This window comes from Homo sapiens, chromosome 1, assembly GCF_000001405.40.
Source record: "Homo sapiens chromosome 1, GRCh38.p14 Primary Assembly".
Lineage (NCBI taxonomy): Eukaryota > Metazoa > Chordata > Mammalia > Primates > Hominidae > Homo > Homo sapiens.
Window position 1 is genome coordinate 6,110,367 of NC_000001.11, and position 15,683 is coordinate 6,126,049.

Sequence of the window (15,683 nt, forward strand, 5' to 3'; positions counted from 1 at the left end):
GCAGCCCTGGCCCTTCAGAAGACAGACCTTAAACCTGCGGGCCAGGAACTTGTTCTTCATCTCCAGGTAGTTGCCCTTGTGGACCTCAGACTTGAAGGGCTCGTTGAGGATCATGTACCGTGGGTCATTCTGGATGTCCTGCCAGCGGGCGTAGCCGTGCCTGGGTGGGGCACCATTAAGGGCAAACCTGGCCGTTAGAAGTGGTGGGGCCGTAGGGGGAGGCAGCTCAGGGAGGGGGAGGGGCCAGCCCGGGGGTCGGCATTCTGGCTGTACGCTCTCAGGCAAGTCCTTAAGCCCAGCTGCACGAGGAACATATTGATGACACAACAGTGACAGTATCAGCAGACACTGACAGGTGCCCTGGGTGCACCAGACACAGCCCCGGGGCTTCAGAGGGTTAACTCTTCACCCCAACAACCTGGGGTGCATACGTTTAAGTCTTGCCCCCAGTGCCTGTGAATGGGAACCTTTTTCGGAAATAGAGTATTTGCAGATGTAATGAAGTTAAGAAAGGGTCATGCTGGACTAGGGTGGGCCCTAAACTCAATGACTGGGATGCTTGTAAGAAGAGGAAAATTTGGGGCCAGGCATGGTGGCTCGCGCCTGTAATCCCAGCATTTTGGGAGGCCAAGGTGGGCAGATCACTTGAGGCCAGGAGCTCGAGACCAGCCTGGCCAACAAGGCGAAACCCCGTCTCTACTAAAATTACAAAAACTAGCTGGGAGTGGTGGTGCATGCCTGTAGTCCCAGCTACTCAGGAGGCTGAGGCAGAAGAATCACTTGAACCCAGGAGGCAGAGGTTGCAGTGAGCTGAGATCGCACCACTGCACTTCAGCCTAGGCCACAGAGCGAGACTCCATCTCAAAAAAAAAAGAAAAAGAAAAAGGCCGGGTGTGGTGGCTGACGCCTGTAATCTCAGCACTTTGGGAGGCCAAGGTGGGTGGATCACTTGAGGTCAGGAGTTCGAGACCAGCCTAGCCAACATGGTGAAACCCCGTCTCTACTAAAAATACAAAAATTAGCCAGGTGTGGTGGGGCACACCTGTAATCCCAGCTACTCAGGAGGCTGAGGCAGGAGAATCGCTTGAACCCGGGAGGCAGCAGTTGCAGTGAGCCGAGATCAAGCTGCTACACTCCAGCCTGGGTGACAGAGTGAAACTCTATCTCAAAAAAAAAAAAAAAAAGAGAGAGCAATGTGGACCCAGACAGAGACACATAAGGAAGAAGCCGGGATGACAGCGGCGGGGAGCGGGCGACACAGCAATGCCGAGGATTTCTAGCCACCGCCAGAAGTGAGGAAGATTGAGGAAGAACGAGGAAGGCTTCCCCCGGAGCTCTCAGAGGGCTCTCCCCGAGGTCCACGGAGGAACGGGCAAGTCCCTGCCCAGCCCGGCCTGGCCAAGGATACGTCACGATGCCCGCCAGCAGCCAGTAGTCATGGCGCCGGTGCCAGATGTCGTAGATTTTCCCAGAGGATACAGCAGCCCGCTCCTCGTTCTGCCACAGCGTGTGCAACTCTGGGAAACAAGCCAAGGTGAGCAGGGTGAGAAGTGCCCCAGCTCTCACGCACAGGCAGGCTTGGAGAGCCGCTCCCTCCCTACTTGCCACTGCCTCCACCCCCAGAGGTCCAGTGTTCCAGGGTGGCTAAGAAAGGTTATACGATGGACTTCCATCAACCAGTCACACTCTAGTATAAAGTTAACCACTGGTCTAGACTCCTGGGACCCACAGTCAGGAAGCCTCAGCTCTCTGCCCAACCCCCAACCCCAATACCCGTGAAGCCCCCGTCCGCGATGTTGAACATGAACTTGAATTTCCCCTTCTTGTCCTCCTTCTTCCCCTCGTCATCTTCCTCTTTGTCACCATTTTGCTGTGTTTCAATGGGCTCCTTCTCCTCAGCCTTGGTGTCATCTGCCGGGGACAGATCACATTCATTCATCCATCCATCCAAAAAGCAGTGCCCAGCGGCCTCTCTCTGCCAAGCACGGGGGACCCAGGAGGCAAGTAGAAAACATCCTCTTGTCCTCAGGGGACTCGCTGCCCAGAAGGGTCTTAAACAAGCCAACGGCCTCTCTCTCTGTCCTGGGCAGGGAGGCTTAGCTCCAGGTCCTAGTGCTCCTCCCCGACCACATCAGGACCACCCAGGAGTAGGACAGGAGAGCGCTGTGAAAAGTACAGTTCAAGTTCAAAGACAGAGCTGCCTGAGGGGGCTGATCTGAGGACAACTGTTCCAGAACATTCCAGGGCCTAGAGGTATGCAAAGCTTCCAGCTGAGCCCCAAATCCCCCAGGCCAGGCTCTATGACCAGCTCTCCTCTCTCTTAGCGGCAAGGGCACAGCAGGGCTCAGGAGAGAGTAGGGGAGAGGCTGTCCCCGGCATTGGCTGTGAGGGGCTGGTGAATCCAGGCTCCCACCTGCCAGCTCCAATCAGGCCTGGGGCCAAGGGGACGGCGCCTGGGAGACTGTGGGAGGCTGAACAGGGTCCAGAGGGCACCCTCAAGGGACCATGGGGCACAGGTAGAGAACACAGAAGAGCCCCAGACCTGGCCTGAGTTCGGAACTGTCCCCTCTGCTGTGGATCAAGCTCAGCTCCAGCTTGTCCAGGATCTTCTCCTTCTCAGGAAGCACCTCCTCTGCAAGAAAAAGAGGGTTCGCGGCATGGGGTGGGGTCCCAGAAAACACAGAGGACTCTGGGCTCGTGGCTTTCCACCCATGGAACCCTATCCATCAATATGTTCCGCAGAGTCCAACAGGTGCCACCAAAAAGAGCTCTCCTCGGCCAGGTGCAGTGGCCCATGCTGTAATCCCAGTATTTTGGGAGGCCGAGGCAGGAGGATCACTTCAGACCAGGAGTTCAAGACCAGCCTGGCAACATAGTGAAATCTCATCTCTACAAAAAATACAACAACTTAGCTGGGCTTGGCGCCATGCGCCTGTGGTCCCACCTGTTCAGGAAGCTGAGGTGGGAGGGTCGCTTGAGCCGAGGAGATAAAGGCTCCCATGAGCCGAGATGGCGCCACTGCACTCCAGCCTGAGTGACAGAGCAAGACGCTGTTTCAAAAAAAAACAGCACACAGAAGATGAGTTCCCAAGAAGAGAAGGAAATCACCGGGTGCCAGGAAGGAAGGGGAAACTGAAGGTGAGGAAGCAGGAGCTGGTGTCCAGGGGCCCCAGGTTGGGGTGATGAGACACCAGGAAGAAGCCTGGAGAGCTTGGAACTTGGAGCTGTGTCTCAGCACCCAGGCAGGACAGGGGAGGCCTCAAGCCCAAAAGATGCAGAGAACTGGAATGATGCCAACACGGTCCAACACCGTGGTCTCTGAAGGAAAGTTCTCACCACTGGCCACGGGAGTGAGATGGCCTGTCTCCACCACAGGATCAAGGAAAAGAAGGTCTCCAGTGAGGAACCCACACCCAACGCCTTGTCCTCGTGGGTGTGGGATATGAACTGGACCACCCAAGGCAGAGACAGCATCATAAAGCTGCTCCCAGAGGGACACCGCCCATGAAACCTCCCGGCCTGAGCCTCCAGAAACAAAAGGGGAGGGATGCTCCCACTCCCCAGAGGACACGGAGCTCCTGCAGATAAAAACCACAATCCAGGCCGGGCGCGGTGGCTCACGCCTGTAATCCTAGCACTTTGGGAGGCCGAGGCCGGAGGATCACAAGGTCAGGAGTTCGAGACCAGCCTGACCAATATGGTGAAACCCCGTCTCTACCAAAAATATTTTTTAAAAATTAGCCAGGTGTGGTGGCACGTGCCTGTAATCCTAGCTACTCGGGAGGTTGAGGCAGGAGAATCGCTTGAACCCGGGAGGCAGAGGTTGCAGTGAGCCGAGATCACGCCACTGCACTCCAGCCTGGGTGACAGAGTGAGACTCCGTCTCAAAAAAAAAAAAAATCACAATTCCTGATGAGGATGCACCCAATCTAAACCCAGAAAACAATGATCCCCCACCAGCCGACGCACAGGAAGCAGACAAGCGCCTGGGGCTAACAGGACAATGTCAGAGACTCTCAAACAGAGGTGTCCAATCTTTCGGCTTCCCTGGGCCACACTGGAAGAAGAACCGTCTTGGGCCACACATAAAATACACTAAACACTGATGACAGCTGATGAGCTTATATATATATACACATAAACACACACACACACATTTTTTTGTGATATATATATATATCACAAAAAAAATCTCATAATGTTTTAAGAAAGTTTATGAATTCGTGTTGGGCCACATTCAAAGCCATCCTGGGCCACATTTGTCCCACGGACCACACAGGTTGAAAAAGCTTGCTCTAAAATAAATATGTCTAGGGTGACCAAAGACAGAGAAAAAAGAAAAAGAAGGAAGAGAATCCACAGGGAAAGAATAAGACTCCCTCAAAACTAGAAAAAAAACATAAAATTTCTAGAAATGTGGGTGGATCACTTGAGGTCAGGAGTTTGAGACCAGCCTGACCAACATGGTGAAATCCTGTCTCTACTAAAAATACAAAAATTAGGCAGGTGTGGTGGCAGGCACCTGTAATCCCAGCTACTCAGGAGGCTGAGGCAGGAGAATCACTTGAACCCGGGAAGCAGAGGCTACAGTGAGCCGAGATTGCACCACTGCACTCCAGCCTGGGCGACAGAGCGAGACTCCATCTCAAAAAAAAAAAAGGGGGGGGCAGGCGCGGTGGCTCACGCCTGTAATCCCAGCACTTTGGGAGGCCGAGGCGGGCAGATCACGAGATCAGGAGATCGAGACCATCCTGGCTAACACAGTGAAACCCTGTCTCTACTAAAAATACAAAAAATTAGCCAGACTTCGTTAGCCGGGCGTGGTGGCGGGTGCCTGTAGTCCCAGCTACTTGGGAGGCTGAGGTGGGAGAGAGACTCTGTCTCAAAAAAAAAAAAAAGAAAGGAAACACACAATCATTAACATTTTAATTGCAGAATTTAATTGCAGAATTCCAACATGGGCTCCAAGACTTCCGGCCCTTGGTGTCCACGCCCTGCAAGATCCCCTGGAAGGTGAAGAGGACAAACTCGACTCCCCAGAGCAGGTTCCGTTTTGCGGCACGGGTGACCTTAAAACAGGGAGATGACCTGAGTAGGCCTAACCTGACCACACGAGCCCTTTTCTCTGGCTGGTCACAGAAAAGGAAGTCAAGGATGCGAAGCACGGGAGGGTTTCTGTTCACCACTGCTGGCTTGAAGACACACGAGGCTACATGGCAGGAATGTGGTGGCTTCCAGGTGCTGAAAACGGACCCAGCTGACAGCCAGCAAGGAAATGGGACCTCAGTCCTCCAGCCTCAAGGAACTGAATTCTGCCAACAACAAGGAGTGAGCATGGATGTGGACTTTTCCCCAGGGCCTCCAGATGAGAACTCAACCCACTCGATACTTTGATGTCCTGAACCTTGTGATATCCTGAGCAGAACACCCAGCTACACCACGCCAGGCATCAGACCCACACAACTGTGAGCTCATGGTGAGTGCTGTTTTAAGCCACTAAGTTTGCAGTAATTTGTGACACAGCCATGCAAAATAATACAACTGGGAAGGTTTTAAAAAACAGCTGTGCAAAGAAAATATACATGGAAGCTGGATCTGAAGATTACTCAAAAAGCCTGGCAGAGAAATAGATAACAAAAAAGAAGCAAAAGATATGAAAACTTATCAGCCCCCATCTTTTGCTAACCTTGTACTCTGCTTTCTTCTTTAGAGCATTTGGAGTCTGTGGTTGAACAACACGTATTTCTGTTTATTGTGGATTGCCTGTGTTCCCCAGTGGAATACAAACTCCACGGAATGAAGCTTTCAGCTGTTTTGGTTCATTGCTTGTGTCCTCAGTGCCTGGGACAGCATCTGACACTCAGCAGGCTCAAAATATATATATATATGCATGTGTGTATATATATGTTTGTTGGATGAATGAACCAATCAATGAGTAATAGGAATTCCAGAAGGACAAAATAAACATAATGAGGGCAAAGAAAATATTCAAAGAGAGAATGACTGAGAATTTTCCCACAATTGATGCAGGACATAAATATTCAGCTTTAAGAATCACAGTGAGTCACACACAAGATAAACAAAAACTTCACTCTAAAAACAAAACAAAAAATACCCTCCATTGTAGTGAAGCTACATATCACCAAAGACAAAGAGAATGTCTTCAAAGCAGTCTTTCAATGTGAGAAAAGATAGAAATGACAAACTTCCTAGACAGGAGCAGCAATTACACCAACAGCAGCCTTCTCAGCTTCTCAGCAGCCTTCTCAGCATAATGAATGCCAAATAAAAAAAGGAAGAATATCTGCAAAGTGCTGAGGGAAGATCCCTATCCCATCTTCAATTGTACTAACTATTCAAGAGTAAAAGAAAAATAACAATGAGAGAATTTACCATTCCCAAAAAAATTGCTGAAAGCACCATTAAAGGTGTACTTTAGGAAGGACTTTGAATGAAGCAATGATGAACAAATAGGCAAACACAAACTGGTAAGAATGTGAGAAGATCTAAAAAAGGATTAAAAATTTAGAAATAAGCATAACAACAAATTTGGGAAAGTAAAAACAAACTGAAACTAAAATACTGGGCAACAGCATCGTGGCAGATGAAAGGGAAGTGAGTTAGAGCTAAAGCTATCTAAAGTCCTCATATTACTCAGGGGTATACATGTTAAAAATGTTAAGAGTACAGAATGAAATTGACTATAAACCTTCCAAATGAGTTGAGGGGGAAAAGAGGAGATATAAAGAAAATTTGATCAATCCAAGAGATGGCAGGAAAAGAGAAAAAAGGAGAAAAGAGAAGGGTAATATATAAAGTACAAAATAAGATAACAGAATTCCATCCACATATCTAGTTATTACAACAAATGTAAAGAGATTAAACTTGCCAGCTAAAAGATAGGGACCCTATAATTAGATTTTAAATGATGAATCCCCTATACACCGTCTACAAAAGATAGACCTAAAACATTACAAAGAGATTAAAAGTGAAGAAATGAAAGAAAATATTTGTAAATCATATATCTGATGAGGAACATGCATCTATATAAAGAACTCATACAAGCCAGGCACAGTGGTACACGCCTGTGATCCTAGCTACTCAAAAGTCTAATACTAGAGAATTACTTGGGCCCAGGACTTCAAAGCCCTCCTGGACAACATAGTAAGGCCCTGTCTCTAAAAGTATTGATTAATTAATTTAAAAAGAACTCTTACAATTCAATAATTTAAAAAAATCCAATTTTAAAGTAGACAAAGGATCTGAAAGGACATTTCTTCAACAAATTATACACAAATAAGCCATAATCACATGAAAAAATATTCAACATCTTTATGCACAAAGTAAACTCAAATCAAAATGACAATGAGATACCACTTCTCACCCACTAGGGTGACTATAATCAAAAAGACAGATAATAACAGGTATTGGCAAGTATGTGAAGAAACTGGAACCCTCACACATGCTGGTAAGAATGTGAACTGATGCAATACACATGGAAAACAATTCAGCAGTTTCTCAAAATGGTACAGAGAATTACCATATGATCCAGCAGTTCTACTCCTAGATATATACCCAAAAGAACTGAAAACCTAGACTCACACAAAAAAATGTGTACACAAATGTGTACAGTAGCCAAAAAGTGGAAACAACTCAAATGTGTATCACTATGAATGGATAAACAAAACAAAACATAGTAGATCCATACAATGGAATATTATTTGGGCATAAAAAGAAATGAAGTACTGCCTGTAATCCCAGCACTTTGGGAGGTCAAGGTGGGAGGATTGCTTGAGTCCAGGGGTTCAAGACCAGCCTGGGCAACATGGCAAAACCCCGTCTCTACAAAGAATACAAAAATTAGCCGGGCGTGTTAGCATGTGCACCTGTAGTCCCAGCTACTTGGGAGGCTGAGGTGGAAAGATCGCTTGCACCCAGGGGGTCAAGGCTGTAGTTAAGCCAAGATCATGCCACTGCACTCCAGCCTGGGTGATAGAGCAAGACCCTGTCTCAAAAAAAAAAAAAAAAAAAAAGGAATGAAGTACTAATATATTCCACAACATAGATGAACTTTAAAAACACTATGCTAAGTGAAAGAAGACACACAAAGGGCCAAAGTACTGCATTATTCCATTGGTATGAAATGTTCAGAATAGGCCAGTCCATAGGACAGAAGTGATTGCCAGGGGCTGGGAGGAAGAGGAAGAAATGGGGAGTGATTACCAATGGGTAAGAAGAATTTATTTTTGAAGTGATTAAATGTTCTGGAATTAGATAATGGTGATGGTTGCACAACTCTGGATGTACTAAAAATAACAAATGGTATACTTCATTACTTTTTTTTTTTTGAGACAGAATTTCGATCTTGTTGCCCAGGCTGGAGTGCAGTGGTGCCATCTCGGCTCACTGCGACCTCTGCCTCCTAGGTTCAAGTGATTCTCCTGCCTCAGCCTCCTGAGTAGCTGGGATTACAGGTGCCCACCACCACGCCCAGCTGATTTTTGTATTTTTAGTAGAGACAGGGTTTCACCATGTCGGCCAGGCTGGTCTCAAACTCCTGACCTCAGGTGATCCACCCACCTCAGCCTCCCAGAGTTCTGGGATTACAGGTGTGAGCTACCATGCCCGACCTGAATGGTATACTTTAAATGGCTCAACTGTATGATATGTTAACTATATCACCATAAAGCTGTTATCTTAAAAAAAAAAAAAGGAATAGAAAAAGGCGTAACAAATATATACTAAACAAAAGAAAGAGCAACCCAAATCAGCAAAAATAAACTTTTTTTTTCTTTTTTGAGACGGAATCTCGCTCTGTCACCCAGGCTGGAGTGCAGTGGTGCGACCTCAGCCTCCCAAGTAGCTGGGACTACTGGCGCTCGCCACCATGCCCGGCTAACTTTTTTGTATTTTTAGTAGAGACGGGTTTCACCATGTTCGACAGGATAGTCTTGAACTCCTGACCTTGTGATCTGCCCACCTCGGCCTCCCAAAGTGCTGGGATTACTGGCATGAGCCACCGCACCTGGCCCAAAAATAAACTTTTAAGCAAAAACTTTAAAGAGGGATAAGAGGGTTATTACACAATAATTAGAAGCACACTTCACAAGAAAAATATTAAAAACCTGAACAAATATGCACCTGACAACCCAGTCTCAAATGATATGAAGCAAAATCTGGCATTATAAGAAAGAGATTAATCCATAATCATAATGAGAGATTTTAACACAAGTCTCTCAGAAACTGACTGATCAAAGCAAACCAAATACTAGTAAAGATATTAAAAACTTGAACAATATAATTAGCATGCATTATCTACTGACCTAATGCGCATATATATATACGTGTGTGTATATATACGTACATATATAGGTACATATGTACGTACATACGTGCGTACATACGTACATATGTGCGTATATACGTACGTATGTACGTACATATATACGTATATATATACGTGTATATGTATATATGTGTGTATTATATATATATATATTTTTTTTTTTTCTGAGATTGAGTCCCTCTCTGTTGCCCAGGCTGGAGTGCAGTGACACGATCTCCACTCACTGCAACCTCTGCCTCCCAGGTTCAAGCAATTCTCCTGCCTCAGTCTCCTGAGTAGCTGGGACTACAGGTGCATGCCACCACACCCAACTAATTTTTGTATTTTTAATAGAGACTGGGTTTCGCCATGTTGGCCAGGCTGGCCTTGAACTCCTGACCTCAGGTAATTCACCTGCCTCAGCCTCCCAAAGTGCTGGGATTACAGGTGTGAGCCACCATGCCCAGCCCTAATGCATATAGTTAGAACCTTAAACCCAGCAATTAGGGAACAGACATTTTCTTCAAGCACACATACATCATTTACAAAATCTGACCGTATCAGGCCAGAGAGCAGGTTTCAACAACCTCATATAGACTCATGTTTTCAGACCACAATGCAATTGAGTCAGAAATCACTAATAAAAAAGTAGCCCAATCACCCCCAATCTCTGTATGGTAAGAAAAGTTAAAGACCAACGGGCAAGGTGGCTCATGCCTGCAATCCCAACACTGTGGGAGGCCGAGGTGGGTGGATCACTTGAGGTCAGGAGGTCGAGACCAGCCCAGCCAACAGTCTCTACTAAAAATTAAAAAAAAAAAAAAAAAAATGGCCGGGCGCAGTGGCTCACACCTGTAATCCCAGCACTTTGGGAGGCCGAGGCAGGCGGATCACGAGGTCAAGAGATCGAGACCAGCCTGGCCAACATGGCAAAACCCAGTCTCTATTAAAAATACAAAAATTAGTTGGGTGTGGTGGTATGCACCTATAGTCCCAGCTACAAGAGATCGAGACCATCCTGACCAACATGATGAAATCTCGTCTCTACTAAAAATACAAAAATTAGCTGGGTGTGGTGGTACACGCCTGTAGTCCCAGCTACTAGGGAGACTGAGGCACAAGAATCACTTGAACCCGGGAGGCGGATGTTGCAGTGATCCGAGATGGTACCACTGCATTCCAGCCTGGGTGACAGAGCGAAACCCTTTCTCCAAAAAAAAAAAAAGTCCATTAAGTCCATGTATAGAGGCCTGAGCTCCTGGCCTCCCCTCACCAGGGGGCCTGCAGAGGGTTGGAGTCTACCTCTCTGCCAGGGAGAAATGAGCGGAAGTACAGCCACCTGCCCTTCTCTGAACCCAGGCCTGCTGAGGCCAGACATGGCACTGGGGTGGGTGGCCTGCAAGAAGCCCCAACCTCTCGGCAGCTGCTCCGGGGAGGGCGGGGCCTTCTCCGTCTCCTCTGGCCGCTCCTCTCGGGCTCTCTCCTTGCTGGCTGGGCTCTCGTGCTTGTCCTCACTCTCCACTCTATCCAAGGCGGCTGGAAGGGCCTGCAGAGGAAAAGCCAGGAGAACTACAAGGCCTGGGGCCTCACCAGGAACGGAGGGCGGGGAACGTGCGCTGGGCTGGGAACCCAGTCTCCTGGCTCCCGTCGCTTGCTCCTAGCCTGCTCCCCGCCGATTCAGAGCCCCGAAAAGGGAGCCAGGAGGCCTGGGTTCCACCTCGCTGTACAGGGCCTGAGAAGGTCCCCAGACCCAACCTCCACCCCACACACACCACAGGCCCAGACGCCAGCAAGTTCCACACCTGGACTTCCAGGGGCTGCCTTGGCTTCTGTGCCCCGGGGTCTTTCTCATCCATGTAGCCCAGCTGGGCTTCCATTTTGTCTGAAAGATCAAGGGAAAGAGCTGAGACAGGTGGGCTCAGACGGGAAGGAGTAGGGCAGGGAGTGGGGTGGCAGAGAGGAGAGATGGGGGCTTGGCCTTCGGGAGGCTCCACTGCAGCCAAGCACCTCCAGGAGAGACAAGCAGGATCCCCGGCTAAGTCAGAGAGGCCAGGCCAGGCCTTTGACTCAGGAGTGCTTGGAGGACCTTGAACCCAGTAAGACCAAAGTGAGGGGCTGTCAGGACGGGGCCGCACACAGCCGTGGCTGCTCATCTGGAGGCAGGGAAGTGAGGCAGATGGAGGCCCAGATTGGGAGCCACGACACCCGCTCTGGTCCCAGCTTTCGGGCGGGCTGGCTGGTGTGTGCCTCTGGACAGGGGGTGAATTTCCTCCCTGCCAAGCCAGCCGCCAACACACTGCAAAGTGCTGGTCACTTACACAGCTCTGAGAAGCCCCGGGAGGTGGGCACAGCCGGGAAAGCGGAGGCCCACAGAGGTTAGGTGACTTGCCCAAGGTTAGACAGAGTTCAGGCCAAAGCCAAGAAGCAAACCAAGATGTGTCCACCTCCAAGGGCTCCCTTGTGCTTGGAGGTGCAGCTTCTCAGGGCCTGGCCTCACCCATCACCATGGGATAGCTATGTCCGCCCCAGGCCTGTGAGGCCCAACCGACGGACCAAGTACTTAACAGGTATTTGCTTCACCCAAATAAATACCTAGATCACCAAAGTGACACGGGCACAAATGACCCAATTAAGTGTGCAAAGAATCTGAAAAGACATTTCTACAAGTCTACAAACAGCCAATACGCACACCGAACAACATTCAGCGTCCTTGGCATCAGGGAAATGCCAATCAGAACCACAGTGAGACACCACCTCATGCTCCCAGGACAGCTAGAACCATGAAGGCAGAGAACAATTACTGCTGAAGACGTGGAGAACCTGGGACTCCCGCACAATACTAGCAGGAATGTAAAATGGTACAGCTGCTTTGGAAAACAGTCTAGTAGTTTCTCAAAAGGGAAAACAGGGTTATCACACGGCCCAGCAATTCCATTCCTAGATATCTGCCCAAAAGAACTCAAAACGTATGTCCACGCAAAAACATAAAACACAGCAGCATTATTCACAGCAGCCAAAAAGTAGAAACAATCCAAAATCTATCGACAGCGCAATGGATAAGCAAAATGCAGTAAATTCATACAAGAAAACGTTATCGGCCAGGCGCGGTGGCTCACGCCTATAATCCCAGCACGTTGGGAGGCCGAGGAGGGTGGATCACCTGAGGTCAGGAATTCAAGACCAGCCTGGCCAACATGGCGAAACCCCGTCTCTACTAAAAATACAAAAATCAGCCAGGTGTGGTGGCGGGCACCTGTAATCCCAGCTACTCGGGAAGCTGAGGCAGGATCGCTTGAACCTGGGAGGCGGAGGTTGCAGTGAGCCGAGATCACTCCATCGCACTCCAGCCTGGGCAACAAGAGCGAAACTCCATCTCAAAAAAAAAAAAAGGAAGAAAGAAAGAAAAAGAAAACATTATCAGCCATAAGGCAGAATGACAGAATGACTGAAGCACTGATGCACGCTGCAATGTGGATGAACCTGGAACCCCCAGGCTGAGTGACAGAAGCCAGACAGAAAGGCCCACGCACTGTGCAGTGCCATATACACGAACCATCCAGCATTGCGAAATCCAGAAACAGGAAGCAGGTTAGTGGCTGCCCAGGCCTGGGGTGGGGGGATAAGGAGTGGCTGCTAATGGGTACAGGGTTTCTTTTTCAGGGGGAATGAAAATATTCCGGCCTTAGGCAGTGGCGATGGTTGTACACCCTACGAATATACTAGAAATCACTGAATAGTACTTTTTTTTTTTTGAGATGGAGTCTTGCTTTGTCCCCCCAGGCTGGAGTGCAGTGGTGTGATCTTGGCTCACTGCAACCTCCGCTTCCCAGGTTCAAGCGATTCTCCTGCCTCAGCCTCCCGAGCAGCCGGGATTACAGGCACGTGCCACCATGCCCGGCTAATCTTTTGTATTTTTAGTAGAGACGGGGTTTCACCATGTTGGCCAGGTTGGTCTCAAACTCCTGAGCTCAGGTGATCCTGCCGCCTCAGCCTCCTAAAGTGCTGTGATTAACAGGTGTGAGCCACCGCGCCCAGCCAGTTTTTTAAAAGAGTGAATTTTGCAGTATGTATATAAATTATATCTCGTAACTGTCATTAAAATGGAAAACTCTCTGTAGAGTGACATTTCAGCAAACAGAGGCTTTGGGGGAAGGAGAGGCCGTCTTCTGTGGGATTGTGGGTTAGACTAGGGGTTTCTGTGACCTTGCCACTTTCCATGACCCCAGTGCCCTCCCCGGCCCGCCCAGCCCACAGACCTGGCAGGCCCAGCGGGGCTGGCAGGAGGTGGGCAGGGCTGGCGGGCACTGGTGTGTTGGGGTCCGAGGAGATCACCTCGCCCGACTTCTTCCCCTCGGGCCCCTCAGGGATCAAGTCTGGGGTGCTGTACTTCCCGTTGACATGCTCAAACTCCTGAACCTGGGGTGGTGGGAGGGAAGGTGGAAGGGAAAGAGGGAGGGCAGTGGTGGCAACTCAGCCCTAAGGGCCTCAGGGCAGCCAGGGGGGCTGAAAGTGTCACAGGCTTGGGGTAGCTGCTACCTCCGCCCAAGGCTGGCCAAGCCAGGCCCCTCCTGACCACAAGCTCCCCTGCCCACCCTCCCACCCTCTGTGTGTCCTCCAACTGTATGTAACCCACCATCCTGGCCTCCACCCCACAGGCCCCTCACCCAGAAAGGCTTTCCAGGTCAGTCCCTCTGGAGTGACTCGGACCCTGGGCAGCTGTGTGGCCTGAACCAGGCACTTGTTCTCTGACCACTGACCCACAAGGGACAGCACCAGGAGCCCAGGCAGCCACCAGGAAGGGCCCTACAGAGAGTTACTCACCCACCTTCTTCCTAACTAGTGACATGACCCCGATGCGGGTCAGCACGTGCTGCCTGGAGAGGCCCTCCCGGGGCACGCCGTCTGCGAAGGTCTCTGCACCATCCGCCCCCGGCTCACACAGGTGCCGCATGAAGAGGGACACATAGGCTCTGGGGTGGGGGGGGGGGACTGGGGCTCAGGGAGTGGGGGGCCGGCAAGAACCCTCTGAGAGGGCTGGCAGGACCCCAGGGGAACTCCTGGCTGATCTTCAACCATCGCCCACCTCCTAGTCAGGCCTGGGCCAGGCCCGGGAAAGGACAGAGAGGGCCTCCCTGGCGAGGGGACCTCCTAGGACAGCCCTGGGTGACCGGGATCTTCCTCGCTGCCATAACACCAGCTGGTTTGGGCAGGGGCGGATGGTCAGTGTTTGCAAATCAGCCCTGCCCGGCACCAGGACTCTAGCCACCCAAAGTCCAAGTGGCAGTGAACTTTCCAGACGGCCTCATCCTGGCGGAAGCAAATGCTGCCCTCTGTGGGGCTCACCCGCAGGACCCTGCCCTACTCAGGGGCAGGTGGTCACACCCTGGGCCACCACCTAGCCCCTTTACCTAAACTCCTTCTCGCTCTTCCCTCGAAGGTCCCGCACCAGCCAGTGGGAGTTGAAGGCGTCCTGCGGGGGCATGCCCCAGCGCATGATGGCGTTCAGAAAGGCCTTCCGCTGTCGGGCATTGAAGCCCAGCACCTGGGCGAGTGGAGCGTGGGAGTATGAGCCCAGGACAGAGAGGGGTGGGGGTGGAGGATTCTGGGATGGGGGAAGAAAAGCATGGGAGGAGGAGAAGGTAGGAAGGGGGCACAGAGAAGGCAGGGGCCTCCACCTGGGGCAGGACCCTGACGGCGAAGACCAGACCAAGTTCTGTCCAAGCTCCGCCTCTACCTGGCATGAGACCCGGGGCAGTCCCCCAGCCCTCCTCCATACCCCAGGGGCAGCAGGAAGCAGGGGCAGAAAGAGATGCGGGAACAGACAGGCCCCACCTCGATGTTGCCACCAACTCGGGCGAGAAGCGGGGGCAGGGGCTTGTCCCTGTCACTCTTCAGCTGCCTCCGGGATTGTCGTCGTCCACCTGGGGAGCAGCCCGCCACAGTTCCTCAGGTGGGAGCCCAGAGATTCCTGATCCCCAAGGACAGCGGGACCCCAGACCAGCCCCGCTCCTGCTGCCATCAGCTCCCCTGACATGGCCTCAGCAGTAGCCCAGACCACTAACACTGAGACTCACTCTGCCCTTCCGGCCTCTCTTCAAAGTCCTCATCCTCATCCTCAGAGCCAATGGAATATTCTGACTGGTTATCAGAGAGCTCATCCTGCCACTCTGCAGGGGGCCAGACAGAGGGGCACGGAGTGAGCTGTACAAGCAAAGCCCACCCTCAAGTTCAAGCATGCCCAGGGCCACGCCGAGCCCCTGCACCCCAGCTCCATAAAAAAGCAGTGACAATGGCCCACATACTTCCTGTGGGCTCATTTAGTAATCCCAACACCACCACGTTATACACTAAGGGTACC

General features: G+C 50.7%; 1 protein-coding gene across 1 annotated transcript in view; it reads right to left on the reverse strand.

Annotated features, from left to right (window-relative positions):
* The window catches only part of CHD5 (chromodomain helicase DNA binding protein 5), a 78,535-nt gene that overhangs the window by 8,580 nt on the left and 54,272 nt on the right, over positions 1-15,683 (reverse strand). Inside the window, exons 27-37 of the mRNA NM_015557.3 lie at positions 15,400-15,492; positions 15,158-15,246; positions 14,734-14,867; positions 14,151-14,295; positions 13,582-13,741; positions 11,128-11,207; positions 10,739-10,871; positions 2,543-2,632; positions 1,774-1,911; positions 1,409-1,517; positions 28-160 (exon numbers count right to left, since the gene is read on the reverse strand). Coding sequence (NP_056372.1) covers positions 28-160; positions 1,409-1,517; positions 1,774-1,911; positions 2,543-2,632; positions 10,739-10,871; positions 11,128-11,207; positions 13,582-13,741; positions 14,151-14,295; positions 14,734-14,867; positions 15,158-15,246; positions 15,400-15,492 — 1,304 coding nt within the window. The remainder of the gene's footprint in view (positions 1-27; positions 161-1,408; positions 1,518-1,773; positions 1,912-2,542; positions 2,633-10,738; positions 10,872-11,127; positions 11,208-13,581; positions 13,742-14,150; positions 14,296-14,733; positions 14,868-15,157; positions 15,247-15,399; positions 15,493-15,683) is intronic.